General features: G+C 39.7%; 1 pseudogene across 2 annotated transcripts in view; it reads right to left on the bottom strand.

Annotated features, from left to right (window-relative positions):
- Positions 1-19,063, bottom strand: part of CD99P1 (CD99 molecule pseudogene 1) — a 47,965-nt pseudogene that overhangs the window by 22,711 nt on the left and 6,191 nt on the right. The window contains exons 4-9 of one of the 2 annotated variants that reach the window (NR_033381.1): positions 18,550-18,703; positions 15,735-15,779; positions 15,022-15,090; positions 11,785-11,829; positions 11,066-11,134; positions 7,877-7,922 (exon numbers count right to left, since the gene is read on the bottom strand). The product of NR_033381.1 is annotated as a CD99 molecule pseudogene 1, transcript variant 2 (transcript). The remainder of the gene's footprint in view (positions 1-7,876; positions 7,923-11,065; positions 11,135-11,784; positions 11,830-15,021; positions 15,091-15,734; positions 15,780-18,549; positions 18,704-19,063) is intronic. The other variant, NR_033380.1, reaches the window with a different exon arrangement.

Raw genomic sequence — 19,063 nt, 5'->3', positions numbered from 1 at the left:
AAAGACATGGAATCAACCTAAATGCCCATCAAGGGTGAACTGGATAAAGAAAATGTGGTCCATAGACGCTGTGGGATACTACACAGCCACAGAAAAGAACAAAACCACGTCCTTTACAGTAACGTGGATGGAGCTGGAGGTTCTTATTGTAATCAAACTAATCCAGAAACAGAAAACCAAATATTGCACATTCTCATTTATAAGTGGATCTACATATTGGGTACTCATGGACACAAAGAGAGGAACAGACACTGGGGGCTCCTAGAGGGTGGAGGGAGGGATAGGGTAAGAACTGAAGAACTACCTATTGGGTGCCATGCTCACTACCCGGGTGATGGGATCGGTCATACCCCAAACCTCAGCATCACACAGTCCACCCAGGTAACAAGCCTGCATATGTTCAACAAGTCAGCAAAATAAATCATGATGAAAATAATGAAATGTTCTTAGTTTTATTTCAACCACAAATTAGAAATCAGACATTTTTCAACTATCTGCCTTGGACCTGATTCTAGGGAAAATATCCTAGGTCTGTGTTTTATAAAGATATGTGTAAATATATGTGTGTGTGTATGTATATGTGAGTGTGTATATATATATATATTACATATATGTACATAATGTGGGTATGCTTGCATATGTATATATATATGCTTGTATATGTGTATATACCTATACATATGTCTGTACATATACATATGTATACCTATACATATGTCTGTACATATACATATGTATACCTATACATACCTATACATACATGTAGAGGTATACACACATATGTATGTATATATACATATACGAGCATACACACATAAATAATCAACAGTATCTTAGTCTTCACATTGAATTTATTGTTCTGCAAATAGAATAACTGTCGATATTTTAAAATAGGACATGCATTTGCTATTATATTTCATCCATATTTTTTTAACCCCTTCTGTGTTTCAGGCAGTGTCCTAGATAGATCTGGGGATTTTGGAGTTGAACAAAACACAGTTCCTTCTTGAAACTGACATTTAGAGACCCATATCTGAGAGATAAACAAATAAAGTCAAGCATTAATAAGGCTATGAATAAATACATCAAAATGCTGAGTAAGAAATATTTATTTAAGTATTACTCATCTACTTGACAGAGAAGAAGAAAGAACATGAAAACTTGAAAGCCAACCTATCTGGTCATCAGGGAAATGCAAATCAAAACCACAATGAGATAGCCCATCATACACACTAGGATGGCTCTAATGACAAATATGGACAGTGACAAGTGTTGGCTCAGATGTGCAGAAACTGGAGCACTCTTATATTGTTTGTGGGATGGTGCAATGGTGCGGTTGCTTTGAAAAGCAGCCTGGCGGATCCTTCAATGGTTAAACATAGAGTTATCATATGACCCAGCCATTCCCCTCCTGGGTATTTACCCAAAAAATTGAAGACAGTTACTCAGACAAGTATGTACATAGAAGTCTTAACCGTATGCTAAGTGCTAAGCATTATTCATGGTAGTTACACAGTGGAAATAACCCAATGCCCAACAACAAGTGTATGGATAAACAAAATGTGGTCTACCCATACAATGGAATGTCATTCTGCCATCAAAAGGAATGAAATTCTGATGCATGGTACAAAATCGATGGACCTCGAAAATATTATGCTGAGTGAAAGAAGCCAGGCACAAAACCACATGGGAGGCCGTTTGAAATGCCCCTGATAGGCAAATCCATGGGATAGGAAGTAGATTTCTGAGTGGCTGCATAGGGCTGGAGCAGATGGCAGGATGGGGGTGATGACCCAGGGAGTGTTGCAACTATCCTTATGAACCAGGAAGTGCTACAATTATCCAGATGAACCAGGAAGTGTGGCAATGTCCCTACGAACCAGGAAGTGCTACAATTATCCCTATGAACTAGACGGTTCCAAATGTCGTTATGAACCAGGAAATACTACAATTTTCCATATGAACCAAAAAGTGTTGCAGTGTCACTATGAACCAGGAAGTGTCACAATGTCCCTCAAACTAAGAAGTGCTACAATTATCCCTATGAACCAGGAAGTATTGCAATGTCCCTGCAAACCAGGAAGTGCTACAATTATCCATATGAACCAGGAAGTGTCACAATGTCCCTATGAACCAGGAAGTGCTACAATTATCTGTATGAACCTGGAAATGTTACAATGTCCCTATGAACCAGGAAGTGCTACAATTATCCGTATGAACCAGAAAGTGTTACAATGTCCCTGCAAATTAGGAAGTTCTACAATTATCGGAATGAAAGAGGAAGTGTTACAATGTCCCTGTGAACCAGGAAGTGCTATTATCCATATGAACCAGGAAGTGCTACAATTATCTGGATGAACCAGCAAGTGTGGCAATGTCCCTATGAACCAGGAAGTGCTATTATCCATATCAATCAGGAAGTGTGGCAATGTCACTATGAACCAGAAAGTGTCACAATTTCCCTATAAACCGGGAAGTGCTACAATAATCCAGATGAACCAGGAAGTGTCACAATGATCCTAAAAACTAAGAAGTGCTACAATTATCCATATGAACCTGGAAATGTTACAATGTCCCTATGAACCAGGAAGTGTTACAATGTCCCTATGAACCAGGAAGTGCTACAATTCTCCATATGAACCAGAAAGTGTTACAATGTCCCTGCAAACTAGGAAGTTCTACAATTATTTGAATGAACCAGGAAGTGTGTAATGTCCCTGTGAACCAGGAAGTGCTACAATTATCCATATGAACCAGAAAGTGTGGCAATATCCCTATGAACCAGGAAGTGCTACAATTATCTGGATGAACCAGGAAGTGTGGCAATGTCCCTATGAACCAGGAAGTGCTACTATTATCCACACGGACCGGGAAGTGTGGCAATGTCACTATGAACCAGAAAGTGTCAAAATTTCCCTATGAACCAGGAAGTGCTACAATTATCCATATGAACCAGAAAGTGTTACAATGTCCCTGCAAACTAGGAAGTTCTACAATTATCTGAATGAACCAGGAAGTGTTGTAATGTACCTGTGAACCAGGAAGTGCTACTATTATCCATATGAACCAGGAAGTGCTACAATTATCGATATGAACCAGAAAGCGTGGCAATATCCCTATGAACCAGGAAGTGCTACAATTATCTGGATGAACCAGGAAGTGTGGCAATGTCCCTATGAACCAGGAAGTGCTACTATTATCCACATGGACCGGGAAGTGTGGCAATGTCACTATGAACCAGAAAGTGTCACAATTTCCCTATGAACCAGGAAGTGCTACAATTCTCCACATGAACCAGAAAGTGTTACAATGTCCCTGCAAATTAGGAAGTTCTACAATTATCTGAATGAACCAGGAAGTGTTGTAATGTCCCTGTGAACCAGGAAGTGCTATTTTCCATATGAACCAGGAAGTGCTACAATTATCCATATGACCCAGAAAGTGTGGCAATATCCCTATGAACCAGGAAGTGCTACAATTATCTGGATGAACCAGGAAGTGTGGCAATGTCCCTATGAACCAGGAAGTGCTATTATCCACACGGACCAGGAAGTGTGGCAATGTCACTATGAACCAGAAAGTGTCACAATTTCCCTATGAACCAGGAAGTGCTACAATTATCCATATGAACCAGAAAGTGTTACAATGTCCCTGCAAACTAGGAAGTTCTACAATTATCTGAATGAACCAGGAAGTGTTGTAATGTACCTGTGAACCAGGAAGTGCTACTATTATCCTTATGAACCAGGAAGTGTGGCACTATCCCTATGAACCAGGAAGTGCTACAATTATCTGGATGAACCAGGAAGTGTGGCAATGTCCCTATGAACCAGGAAGTGCTACTATTATCCACATGGACCAGGAAGTGTGGCAATGTCACTATGAACCAGGAAGTGTGGCAATATCACTATGAACCAGAAAGTGTCACAATTTACCGATGAACCAGGAAGTGCTACAATTATCTGGATGAACCAGGAAGTGTGGCAATGTCCCTACGAACCAGGAAGTGCTATTATCCACACGGACCGGGAAGTGTGGCAATGTCACTATAAACCAGAAAGTGTCACAATTTCCCTATGAACCAGGAAGTGCTACAATTATCCATATGAACCAGAAAGTGTTACAATGTCCCTGCAAACTAGGAAGTTTTACAATTATCTGAATGAACCAGGAAGTGTTGTAATGTACCTGTGAACCAGGAAGTGCTACTATTATCCATATGAACCAGGAAGTGCTACAATTATCCATATGAACCAGAAAGTGTGGCAATATCCCTATGAACCAGGAAGTGCTACAATTATCTGGATGAACCAGGAAGTGTGGTAAGGTCCCTACGAACCAGGAAGTGCTACTATTATCCACATGGACCAGGAAGTGTGGCAATGTCACTATGAACCAGAAAGTGTCACAATTTCCCTATGAACCAGGAAGTGCTACAATTATCCAGATGAACCAGGAAGTGTGGCAATGTCCCTATGAACCAGGAAGTGCTACAATTATCCCTATGAACCAGACGGTTCCAAATGTCTTTATGAACCAGGAAGTTCTACAATTATCCATATGAACCAGAAAGTGTGGCAGTGTCACTATGAACCAGGAAGTGTCACAATGATCCTAAAAACTAAGAAGTGCTACAATTATCCATATGAACCAGGAAGTATTGCAATGTCCCTGCAAACCAGGAAGTGCTACAATTATCCGTATGAACCAGGAAGTGCTACAATTATCCGTATGTATGAACCCGGAAATGTTACTATGTCCCTATGAACCAGGAAGTGCTATTATCCATATGAACCAGAAAGTGTTACAATGTCCCTGCAAACCAGGAAGTTATACAATTATCAGAATGAACCAGGAAGTGTTGCAATGTCTCTGTGAAACAGGAAGTGTTGCAATGTCCATGTGAACCAGGAATTGCTACTATTATCTATATGAACCAGGAAGTACTAGAGTTATTCGTATGAACCAGAAAGTATTACAATGTCCCTATGAAACAGGAAGTGCTACAATTATCCCTATGAACCAGGAAGTGTTGCAATGTCCCTGGGAATCAGGAAGTGCTAACAATTATGTGTATGAACCAAAAAGCGTTGCAATGTCCCTGTGAACCAGGAAATGCTACAATTACCCATAAGAACCAGGAAGTGTCACAATGTCCCTGTGAACCAGGAAGTGCTACTATTATCCATTTGAACCAGGAAATGTAACAATGTGAGCCAGAAAGTTTTACAATGTCCCTATGAATCAGAAAGCATTACAATCTCCAGATAAACCAGGAAGTGTTATAATGTCCCTCTAAACTAGAAAGTGCTGCAACCTTCCAATGACCCAGGAAGTTCATTTATCATGTCTAGGAAGCAGGAAGTGCTACAACCTCCCCAGTGACCCAGGAAGTTCTCTTACCATCCCCAGGAAACAGGAAGTGCTACAAACTTCGCTAGTGACCCAGGAAGTTTATTTAACATCTCCAGGAAGTTCATTGACCATCTCTAGGAAGCAGGAAGTGCTACAACCTCCCCAGTGACCCAGGATGTTCACTGACCATCTCTAGGAAAGCAGGAAGTGCTACAACCTCCTCAGTGACCCAGGACGTTTATTTACCATCTCCAGGAAGCAGGAAGTACTACAACCTTCCCAGTGACTCAGGAAGTTCATTGACCATCTCTGGGCAGCAGGAAGTGCTACAACCTCCCATGTGACACAGAAAGTTTATTTACCATCTCCAGGAAGCAGGAAGTGCTACAACTTTCCCAGTGACCCAGGGAGTTCATTTACCATGTCTAGAAAGCAGGAAGTGCTACAACCTTCCAGTTGATGGGGTACAGGACACCCCACCCTGAATAAGAATGTAGATCATTACGTGACACTCTGAAATATGCCACCTTGGCATACTGATTGCCTTGAGCAGAAATAAATCAAGAACCAGCCAAAGCACAACCCACGGTCTCTTGACTTCATCACAGTGCTCTTGTCTGACATTTCTTATTGACTTTAAAAATGTCCTGTCTGTGACATTTCTTAGGTCCAACAGGAAACCCCAAGCCAGGTAGCGGGAGCCAGGCCAGCCCCTGGATGTCAGCGGCTGCCTGCTTCTCTCACCATGCACTGAATCTTGCAAATTTGCTGTGACCTCACGTACAGGGGGGAAAAGCTGTTTTTTCCTTTGACATGCACACCCCTCTCCCCTCTCATCCTTCACTTCTGACACTGAATGTGTAGGAACAACTGCTTTTTTCTATACATACACTCAAAATATCTGTGACCAGAAGTCACAGAGATTCTGGGACTCTGTGCTGATAATCATTTTTTCCAGCCCTCTCATCCATGTGACCCAGGGCCCAGGTAGCCAGGAAAACCAGCAATTACTCAGCAGTAAACGACCACTCATTCAATCCTTGTTGTCATGTATTGGGTCCAGGTTACTGGGTCCTCACAGGCTAGATCCACCCTCCAACAGCTGCATCTAAGCTATCCAATGGGCTGGTGCATCTTCCAGGGAAAGATCATTTGGGGCTTTAGGAGAATTTGAAGGGCTGGGGGCAGCCATGGCAACCTGGGTGCCAAAGTCTTTCAATGACTTTTTTTTTCAATGGTCCTCTCCACTTTTATTTCTGTCTCTTTCCACATGTGAACAACTCCTTCATCCTCTGATGCAGGCCTCTCTAAGGAACCTGTGATTCCACTGTAATTACACAGCTCATCCTAAATAATCGTCCCATGTCAAGATCCTTAATGTAATCCCATTTGCAAAGTCCCATGTGTTGCATAAGGTCACACATTTACATGATCAAGGGGTTAGGATGTGGGCATCTCTGGGGACCAGTATTTCACCTATCACATGGGGTTTCAACACCTGATGGGATCTGGGAGCCTGATGAGGGAGGGTATCACCCCTGAAGAGCTGGGTCAAAGTGAACCAAGTAGCTAGAACAGGTGGGCACAGGAAGTTGGGGATTCCCAAGGGCACCACTTTGGCAGAAGTTAAGTGGGACCGTTGGGACCCCTCTACCTCTTGGGTCATGGATTTGTAGACAGACACTGAGAGCCTCCCACCAGAAGAGGGCACTGTCTGCATATAAAGAGAAAGATACACCTTGCTAATGCAGCAAGAAGAGGCCTAAAAGCAACTAACACTAACGGAGAGGCTTTCAAACCTCAGGGAGGTGGACCCAAATGGTATCACTGGTTTCTTTTGAGGGAAAGTTTGATTTTTTTTTTTCTCTTTAACTGCACTCTTTTGGGTCTCCCAGTTGATTGTTATTAGTACAGACTGCTTTTCAAATGGGAAATTAACTTTGCACTTAGCTGCCGAAGGGAATGATGACATTAGCAATGGGTACATGAGTGTAAGCAACAGCAGCGTGGGATCAGAGCCAGGATCTGAGACGCAGAGCTGGGAGGCAGGAGACAGCTCTCTGGGAGCAAGCAGAGGGGAGCAGGGGTAATAAGCACTGAAAACAAGGATGGCCCCTAGGGACACTCGAAGGGACATTTTCAAGACTGGGCACTGACTGTAGCCTCACTCTGTTCCCCTCCATCCCATGCCATGCCTGACTTCCTCTTTTCCCCCTCACTGAGCCCCACAGGCACCCTCAGTTCCACTGACCACAGGCCCTTTGCACATGCCACACTTGCTACACAAAACACCCTTTGACCCACTCCTTGGGATATAAGTCATCCTCATTCCTCAGCTGTTAGCTCAACTGTCATGTCCCCCCAGGGGTCCACATGTGTGCCCCTGCCTGAGCCCCAGGCAACTAATATGGAAGCATCTAGAAGCCTCAAACCTTCATCACTGCTCTTCCTACAGCACTCCAAAAACACAAACAAACTATAAGCAATTCGGCAACAGAGGAGACTTTAAAGAGTTACTCACTGTTTCGTTCACCATGAAGAAACATCTGTGAAATCAAAGTCATCCCCTAAAGAAGGGAAACAGGCTGTTAACACCAAAGTTCTGAGAGAAATGAGGAAGAAATGACCTGGAAGCAGATGGAGAAAACACCACAGGCCTAAGTTCTTAAGTGTTTTCTAAGTATCACTGTGACCAGGACCTCATAAGAAAAAGTGAATTCCTGATCATTTTCACATCACTCTTCTCTCAGACACAAAGAGTAAAAGATGAGAGCAAGAGTCAGGGGTGGAAAGAGAGGGAGAGAGAGAGAGAGAAACAAAGTAATTTATAAATGAACTGTGCTGGCTGGACGAAGTTGGAACTCTAACTCTGCCAACACAGGATTCCCTCCTGTTGATTTCCCATCCCATCACCATCTCCCTTCAGGTAACCAACACCTTCCGCCACGGAGGCCCTAAGAGGTGGGGACACATGACTATGATCAGATTTGGGCTAGAGGGTGTCTAAAAGGTGGCTCTATCAACCCAGACGTACTGGACAAACTGACGTGAAAATTCACCGTGGTTTCAGAGGTTGCCTTCTAGTTTTAAGCTTTTCAAATCCTGACTAAGGCTGGAGAAATTTTTACACTGAAAGGGGATAATAAGGAGGCTTAAATAAAAGAAACATGAGGGGCTACATCAAATCCGACATTTTTCCAAAACCATGTAAGAATATACTTACATGGTTTCAATGAGTAATCAATAACTTACGTGGTTTTAATGAGTAATCAATAAAAACCAGATGATTATCCAAATATATATATATAAAGAAATAAGAAACCTCATGGTATGAAAACCAATAATATTATATATTTGGGGAAAAATGTATACCAGAATAGAATGACCCTTCCTGAAATGACTACATTTTTTAAAAAGGCAATTTATTTTATTTAAAGGTGAGTATCTTTGGGTTTTTGCTTTAAAGTCAGGAATTTAAAATATCTGCTCTCTTCACTCATATTTAAACCTGTCCTGGGTTTACTATCAAAGGTAATACAACAAAAATACAAATAAAATGTAAAGAGAACATATAAAGATAGAAAATTGAAAAATATTTAAAAATCATGTGCAAATAATATGATTGTCTTCTTAGAAAGATAAGAAATGAGAAAAAATAGAAATTTAATAAGGGATCATAGTTCAGGATATAGTAAGGAAAAATATATTAAATCCTTTCTATGTAACAAAAATAAACAGAAAGATAGTGGGCATAAAAATATATCCAGAAAAATGAAAAAAAAGAAAAAACTAGAAATGCATTAAAAGAAATCATCAGGGAAAGAGGTACATCGAATATCAAGAAAAATCTCAATTTTGCAGGCATGTTGGTTCTGAAGTTCAAAGGAAAAAACGTCAGCTGGGCACGGTGGCTCACGCCTGTAATCCCAGCACTTTGAGAGGCTGAGGCAGGTAGATTATGAGGTCAGGAGTTCGAGACCAGCCTGGCCAATATGGTGAAATCCTGTGTCTACTAAAAACACAAAAATTAGCTGGGCGTGGTGGTGGGTGCCTGTAGTCCCAGCTGCTGGGGAGGCTGAGGCAGGAGAATCGCTTGAACCTGGGAGGGAGAGGTTGCAGTGAGTGGAGATCGTGCCACTGCACTCCAGCCTGGGCGACAGAGCAAGACTCTCTCAAAAAAAAAAAAAAAAGTCACCAAAATCAGAAAGCTCCGACAAATATAAGACACCATGAATAAAAATTTGAAGACTTGCCTGTCAAAAAATACTGTTAAACTATTCAATGGCAAAAATAAGATGAAAAAGCATTTTCATAGTAAATGGTTGGCAATATTTAATGTCTATAAAAAAATGAGGAACGTTTATAAAACAATACAGACATATCGGAAGATAAGAATAAAGGCAAAGTAATCAATACATATAGAAGAAGTAGGCTGGGCGCAGTGGCTCATGCCTGTAATCCTAGCACTTTGGGAGGCCGAGGCGGGTGGACTGCCTGAGCTCAGGAGTTGGAGACCAGCCTGGGTAACATGGTGAAACCCCATCTCTACTAAAATACAAACAAACAAACAAAAAAATTAGCCGGGCATGGTGGCATGCACCTGCAGTCCCAGCTACTTGGGAGCTGAGGCAGTAGAATTGCTTGAACCCGGGAGGCAGAGGTTGCAGTGAGCTGAGATGGTGCTCCTGCACTCCAGCCTGGCGACAGAGCGAGACTGTATCTCAAAAAAAAAAAAAAAGAAAAAAAAAGAAGTATACGTGGCAAATTGATGTACTATTTACTATTTTTTTTTAAATTGCAGAACTAAAGAACTGAAACTAGGCAAAGATTAATGTTACATGTGATAGTACATGACAAAGGTTTTCTAGGTGATCAGCAGCAGTAACGATGGTGGGAAGAAAGGGACATTTGCACATATCCCTGGCATCAAAATAAATTCATATAATTCTGGGCCAATTTCAGAACCAGGTCAAAACTACAGAAGTACTCATACACATTGATCTGAACAATTTGCATTCTAGAAATTGATTCGAAGGAATAAAAACAAGTGCATAAAGTTGATTCAAATTGACTTTGAAATCCATAATTCTAAAATGTTAGAAGAAACATAACATTGTCAAAATTAAATATTGAAGTATATAATTATGTGGGAAATAAATAAGGACATAAAATGGACAGTAAAAGTCATGTTAGAAAGACTTAAATGACATAAGAAAATCATCAAGAAATATGAATATGCCAAAAATAACGTTACTAGCACATAACTATCAAACTGTCAACAGGATTTGGACACTAGTTATATTTTTCTGTGTTACAAGTTAAACAAGCATGTAAACAAAAAAAAATCACTAACGATCTAACTATTTGAAAAGCACTCACCTCTCCACTGGGAATGCAACTATCCCTTCCTTCATATCATGTCTGTATTTAAAACCTCGTATTCAACTTTTTAGAGGTGGAATCCAAAAAATCTCAGAATTTAAGATTCTATTTAAGATTTATGACTTAAATCTTAAAATCTTAGAAGTAAAATCAGGACGCTAAAAATATAATCCAAATCAAAATTATATAGTTGAAAACTAGGTTTTGGAATTTCCTTGTACAAGGAGTGAAGAGTGAGCACAGGTTTCATGTGAAATCTCCCAGCTGACATGGATATCACTGTCCTGTAAACAACATACAGATGACCCATAGGGTTAGAGGCTCTTACCGGTGGAATCAGGCTGCTTGGGGTTTGGATTTGGCTTTGGTTTGGGTGGGTTCAGTGGTGCTGGCTCGTCTGTTTGTAAAAGATGAGAGTTGAGATTATGAGTGCCTTGAAGTGAAGAAAATGAAACATCAATTTGCATGCAGACGTTCACTAAACATATAAAAATTGGACCTTGTTCTTTGTCATGGTGGGGATACCCATACACACAGCCTCCTGCCAATATCCTTCCAACATCTTCCAGCTACAGTACTGATAAAGCATTTTCAATAAAACCTATCAGGCAGCTTTTCAGATCAGCTACAGAATTGGCAAGGTACTGTGTAAAATGAAAATGCAGAAATCCTTGCTCAACTGAATATTAAGAATTTCAAGATGACAACTAAAGACTCATAAACCAATATGGCACCCTTGTAAGCATGGGTCCCTGGGTGATCGAACAAGTCACACACTCATGAAGCCTAACTTGGCCAGGGGAGTCAGATTTGCCTTACATCATTCCAAAGACTGTGAGAGTTTTAAAATAAAACTATGCATACTGGTAAAAACAAAAACAAAGTCCAACAATATCCAAAACAAACAACAACACACCTACTCCCTAACTTTCCACTGTGCAAACAGGTTTCATTTATCATTCACAAGAGATACGTTTTTTGGAAACAATAATAATTTGGTGATAATAAGCAAGTCAGCCACAGTGGAGAGTTTAAGGAGTTACTCACAGTTTCCTTTGTCATGTAAGGCATCTGCTAAGTCAAAGTCATCCCCTAAAGGAGGGAAACAGGCTGTTAACACCAAAGTTCTGAGAGAAATGAGGAAGAAATGGTCTCGTAAACAGATGCAGAAAACACCATAACCCCACGTTCCTAAATACTTTTCTGGATATCCCTCTAACCAGAATCTCAATAGAAAAAGTGAATTCCTGATCATTTTCACATCACTCTCCCTTCTGATGAAAAGAACAAAAGATGAGAGCCAGAGAGAGAGAAATAAAATAATTTATAAATCAATTGTGCTGCCTGGACAGAGTTGGAATTCCAACTCTAACCTGCACATGGTTCTCTCCTGTTGATTTCCTGTCCAAATATCATCTCCCCCCAGGTAACCAACACCTTCCACCAGGGAGGCCCTAAGAGGGGTTAGAGGGTGTCTAAATAGTGACTCTGCCAACCCATTTATGCTGGACAAACTGACGTGAAAACTCACCATGGTTTCAGAGTTTGCCTTCTAGTTTTAAGCTTTTCAAATCCCAACTAAAGTTGGGAAAAACTTTTTTTTTTTTTTTGAGACGGTGTCTTGCTCTGTTCCCCAGGCTGGAGTGCAGTGGCACAATCTCGGCTCACTACAACAACCTCCTCCTCCCAGGTTCAAGCAATTCTCCTGCCTCAGCCTCCCGAGTAGCTGGGGCTACAGGTGCCCGCCACCACAACCAGCTAATTTTTGTATTTTTAGTAGAAATGGGGTTTCACCATATTGGCCAAGCTGATCTCGAACTCCTGACCTTGTGATCCACCCACCTCGGCCTCCCAAAGTGCTGGGATTACAGGCGTGAGCCACTGTGCCTGGCCAGGTTGGGGAAATTTTTATATTGAAAGGGGATAACAAGGAGACTTAAATAAAAGAAACATGAGGGGCTACATCAAATCCAACATTTTTACAAAACTATGTAAGAGTACATGAGTAATCAATAAAAATCAAATAATTAGTCAAATATATTATATATAAATAAGAAATTTCATGGTATGAGAAACTATACTATTATACGTTTAGGGAAAAAAAAGTATACTGGAGTAGAAAGAGGCTTTTTGAAGTGATTTACTTTATTTAAAGGTGAATCTCTCTGGGTTTTTGCCCTAAAGCCTGAAATAAAAGCTGTTTACTGTATTTACAATTCTACATATGAAAAGCTGTCCTGGGTTTATCTAGCAAAGACAGTACAACCAAATTACAAATAAACTGTAAACAAAATGTACAAATATAGAAAAGGGGAAATTAAAAAAAAATAATTTGCAAACAATTTGTGGATCGTAAAGAAAAATACACAAAATCCTTTGTATATTATAGTATAAACAGAAAAATAGTGGACTTAGAAATAGATTCAGAGAAACAAAAAACAAAAACAAAAACAAAAAACAATTGAGAAATCCATTGACAAAAATCATCAGGAGAAACAGATGCATCAAATCTCAAGGAAAAAGCTCAACTTTGAAAATGTTTCACAACTTCTTTGATCAACTTATGTTTGAAGACAATTCAAATGAAATTAAAAAGACAGTTTTACTTCTCCCAAGCAGGAGACACAATGGCAAAATTATTCTCCATTAAAATAAAAGTCACAAAACCAGAAAACCAACACAAACATAAGACACCATAAAAAAATAGGTCTTGCTTATGAAACATTCCTGTTAAAAATATTAAAAGGCAAAAATAAATAGCAAAAACATTTTCATAGTAAGTGGCTGATAATCTTTAATATCCATAAATAACTGAAGAAGACTTATAAATCAGTAGGTACATATGAGAATTTAAGAATAAAGGGGATAACATCCAATACACAAAAGAAGTAACCATGGCCAACTGGAATGCACTATTTTTTTTTAAATTTCAGAATTAGAGATGCGAAACTAAGACAAGTTTGATATAATCCTTACACTATGTGACAAAGGTTTTGCAGGTGATAACCAGTATAGAGATGGTGTGAAGACAGACATCTGCACACACCATCATCAAAATAAACTGGGACGATTCTGGGGCAAATGACGAACCAGGTCAAATACTATAAAAGGACTCATATACATTCATCTAGACAATTTGAATGCCAGAAATCTCTTCAAAGGAATAATAAAAAAAAAAAAAGTAGATGAAGTTGACTCAAATTTGCTTTGTAATTCATAATTCTAAAAAGTCAGAAGACACAATATTTTAAACATTAGGGATTAAATAAATTAATGTATTATATATTTATATAGAATATAATTGACAGTAAATGTCATATGATATAAATGATAAAATGACATGAGCAAATGTTCAGTGACTATTAATAAGTATAAAATAGGCCAGGCTCAGTGGCTCATGCCTGTAATCCCAGCACTTTGGGAGGCCGAGGTGGGCAGATCACCTAAGGTCAGGAGTTCGAGACCAGCTTGACCAGCATGGTGAAACCCTGTCTCTACTAAAAATACACACAAAAAAATTAGCCGGGCATGGTGGTGCATGCCTGTAATCCCAGCTACTCAGGAGCTGAGGCAGGAGAATTGCTTGAACCCAGGAGGCAGAGGTTGCCGTGAGCCGAGATCACGCTACTGCACTCCTGCCTGGGCAACACAGCGAGACTCCATCTCAAATAATAATAATAATAATAAAAATAATAATAATAATGTTACAATGCAGTATGAACAAAAGACTGGCTTTATTACTTAACGTTTGCTTCATTTAAACTGATATATAAAATATAAGCGCAAATAACCATCACAATGCCAAGAGGATATGAACATTATTTATGTTTCTGTGTTAAAAATTAAAAACAAAAAAGAACTAAAAACCTGAATGTTTCACAACAATTCAGTTCAAAAAACAGTTGCTAGTCAGATTACCTGAGAATGCTGTCATGTGTCAAAATAGCTGATACAAATATTCAAGGGCAAAAACATCAAAAACACCCAAGTTTCTCTACAGGGAATGCACAGGCCATTTTCTCTATACCAAGTTCATAAGAAAATCTTGTGCTCAGTGTTTTAGAAGTTCCATACAATCTTGGAAGTAAAATCAGCAAACTAAAAATAGAACGCAAGTCAAATATCTATTTCAGAAAACTGTATTTCACTCCCTGCCCACTGGAGTAACTGTACAAAAAGTCAATAGCAAGCACCTGCTCATCTGAAAGCCTGTCGTCCATCTGATGTGGATACCACTCTACCGTGGACAACATACAGACAACCTATAGAGTGAGAAGCACTTACCAATGAATCCAGGCTGCTCAGGGTTCGCATTTGGCTTCAGCTTGGGTGAATTAAGAGGTGCTGGGTCGTCTGTTTGTGACAATGAGAGTTGCAATCATGAGTGTCTTGGAGTAAAGAAATGAAACATCAATTTGCATAGAGATGGCTGACGGACCAGGTAAAAGTTGGAGCTTGTTGCTTGTCATGACAGGGATAACCGTACACACAGCCTCCTGCCAACTTTCTTCCATCATCTTCCGGCTACATTGCTTAATATCAAATTAAACTAAAGCAGGTGTCTAGATCAGTGACAGAGTTGGCAAGGTCCCGTGCAAAACAAAAATGTGGGACCCCTCGTCTCAACTGTATGAAGAAGAGCAACATGGTAACTACAGACCAGTAAACCAATATGGCGCTTTTGTAAACACAGGTCCCTGGGTGACTTCACAAGCTGCATGCCCGTGAAGGCTGACCTGGCCAGGGGAGTCACATTTGCCTTACATCATTCCAAAGACTGTAGGAGTTTCTCAACAAAAGCAAGTGGACTGGTTAAAAAAAAAACAAACAAAAGTCCAACAACATCAAAAACAGACAACAACACACTTACTCCCTAGGTTTCCACTGTGCAAACAAGTTCCATTGATCATTCTCAAGAGGTAAGTCTCTTGCAAATGATAATAATTGGGCGATAATAAGCAAGTTAGCAAGAGAGGAGACTTTAAAGAGCTACTCACTATTTCCTCCATCACGAAAGGCATCTGCTAAGTCAAAGTCAGCCCCTACAAATAGGAAACAGGCTGTTAACACCAAAGTTCTGAGAAAATGAGGAAGGAATGAGCTTGTAAACAGAGAAATCACTGGAGCCCCACGTGACTAAATACTTTATTGAACATGACTCTCACCAGGATCTCATCAGAAAAAGCAAATTGCTGACCATTTTCACATCGCTCTTCTCTCACATGAATGGATTAGAGATCAGAAGGTGGCTGGGGGGAGAGAGAGAGAGAGAGAGAAAGAAGAGATAGATACAAAGAGAGAAAGAAAGAAATTCATAAATCAATTCTCCTCCCAGACTGAGCAGGAACTCCAACTTCGCCTGCACATTATTTGCTCCTGTTTATTCCCATCCCATCAACATCTCGTCCAAGGCCCCCAACACCTTCTGTGAGGGAGACCCTAAGAGGTGAGGAAGAATGACTGTGATCAGATTTGGGCTAGAGAGTGTCTAAAAAGTGGGTCTACCCACCCAGGTGTGTTCCACAAACTGCTGTGACATTCTTGATAATTTCAGAGGCTGCCTTCCAGTTCTAAGCTTTTCAAATCCTAACTAAAGTCGAGGAACCATTTTTGTTTTGTTTTGAGACAGGGTCTTCCTCTGTCACGCAGGCTGGAGTGCAGTGGTGTGACCACGGCTCACTGCAGGCTCCGCCTCCTGGCCTCAAGCAATCCTCCTGCCTCAGCCTCCCAAGCAGGTGGGACAGCAGGTATGTGCCAACAAGCCTGGCTAATTTTTCATTTCATTGTAGAGAGGGGGTTTTGCTATGTTGCCCAGGCTGGTCTTGAACTCCTGGGCTCAAAAGATGCTCCCATCTCAGCCTCCCAAAGTGCTGGGATTATATGTGTGAACCTCTATTCCTGGCCATCATCAACTTTTTATATGGGGAAGGGAGAAAAAAGAGGCTTAAATGAAGGAAACTTTGAATCCAACACTTTTCAAAACCATGTAACAGTACATTAGTAATCACTAAAAAACCAATGACTTTTCAAATATATTGTGTATAAAGAAATAAGAAGTCTCACAGTATGAGAACCTATACTATTGTATGTTTAGAAAAAAAAGTATACTAGAATAGAGAGATCTTCTTGGAATGAGTATCTGGTTTTGTAAAGACAATTTATTTTATTTACAGGTGAACCTCTTTAGGTTTTTACCTTGAAATCAGGAATAAAAAATGTCTACTCTCTTCACTCATACTTAAAGCCATCATGTGTTCTCTAGCAAAGCCAATTCAACAAAAATACGAATGCACTCTGAAGACACTCTGAAGACAACGAAAAAACATAGAAAAGGAGACAAATTTTAAAATCACTTACAAATAATATGTCGGTCTTCTCAGAAACATTAAGAAATGAAGAGAAAACAATTGGAAGTTCACAAGGGTTCATCATTCAGTGGAGAGTAAGAGAGAATGCACAAAAATGTTGCTATAGTTCAGAAACAGAGAGACAAATAGCGCACATAAAATCGTACTCACCAAAACAAATCAATACTGACGGGAAAACACCTTAGAAATCCATTTAAATAAATCACCAGGAGAAAAAGGCACACAGAAGAATCTGCTCGATTTTACAAATATTTTAGCACTCTATAAATCAATTCATAGTTGTAAGTAATGCAAATGAAAAGAAAAAGATGGTTTTCTTTTTCCCAAGAAGGAAGAGAGACAGTGATAAAATGGTTCTGTTAAAAGGAAAAATGTGTTACACAAAGGTGGAAACTCACACAAACCTAAGACAACATAAAAAAGAAAAATTCAAGCCTTGCTTATAAAAGCTTCTGTTCAAAATGTTTTCAGAGGCAACAATAAAGTGGAAACACATTTTCATAATATATTGGGCAATGTTTACTGTCTATAAATAATTCAAAAATGACTAGAAATCAGGGAGGACATACCAGAATAGAAGAATAAAAGACACAGTATCCCATACACAGAAGAAGAAGTCTCCATGGCCCACTGATGCATTGTTTTTGTTTCAAGTTTCAGAATTAAAGACGTGAAACTAAGACAAGGTTAGCATGACATTTTGCACTACTGGATAAAGATGTTTTGGTGAACACCAATATCGGAGACGGTGTGAGGAAAGGGTCATCTGCACACCCCGCCGCCATCAAAATAAATTGGTGCAATTCTGGGGCAATTTCAAAACCATGTCAGAAGCTACAAAAGTACTCACACACATCGATGTAAACAACTTGCACTCTAGAAATATATCTTCAAACATAAAGGAAAGTGCATGAAGGGCAGTCAAATTTGCTTTGTAATTGATAATTCCAAAACATCAGAAGAAACATAACTTCAGAATTAGGGATTACTTAAAGAAACCAAAGTATGTAATTAAGTCTGTAGTATAATAATGTAAAGTCGTATGATACAAACGATTAAATGACATGAGAAAATGGTCAAGGAATATTCTTATGCCAATAATAACATAACCAGCAAAAAACCATAAAAATGTCAACAGGATTTAGACCATCTGGATAGATTTCTGTGTTAAAAATTAAACAAACATGTAAAGAAAAACACTCAGTAAAAATCTAATTGTTTAAAACAAGTTGGCTTCTCCATGGGAAACACACAGATTCTTTTCCTCATATCAAGTCTACATCTAAAAGCTCTTATTCAATGATTTGGAAGTTCCATTTATCTTTGAAGTAAAATCAAGAAAAGGAAAATAAAATCCAAACCAAAAACATATTTTCGTAATCTAGGTTTTCCACTACTTGAACACTGGAATTACCTTGTAATTCAACAGTAGGAACAGGCTCACCTGAAATCTCCTCTTCTCAGATGACACGGACATCACTGCCAGGTAAACAACATAGAGACCACCCCGTAGGGTTAGAGGCTCTTATCAGTGAAACCAGGTCAGTTGGGATTTGGATCTGGCTTTGGTTTGGGGGGATTAGGTGGTGCTGGGTCACCTGTTTGTAAAACATGAGAGTTGGCGATCATCAGTGCCTTGCAGTCAAGAAAATGAAAAATCAATTTCCATGGCGACCAGAAAAGGAAATGAAAAATCAATTTGCATAGAGACCTTTCACTAAACAGGTAAAAAATGACCCTTGTTTTTGTCGTGGTGGGGATGCCCATACACATAGCCTCCTGCCAATTCCCTTCCATCATCTTCCAGCTACAGGATTTAACTTCAAGTATTTTCAAAGAAAACTAAGCCAGGTGTCCAGACCACCTCCAGAATTTGAGAGGCCCTGCACAAAATGAAAATGCAAGATTCTGTTCCAATTTTATGACGAATTTCAAGATGGCAGCTACTGAGTAATACA

This window comes from Homo sapiens, chromosome X (assembly GCF_000001405.40).
Source record: "Homo sapiens chromosome X, GRCh38.p14 Primary Assembly".
NCBI lineage: Eukaryota > Metazoa > Chordata > Mammalia > Primates > Hominidae > Homo > Homo sapiens.
Note: the sequence above shows the minus strand (reverse complement) of the source record. Positions and strands in the feature narration are given on the sequence as shown.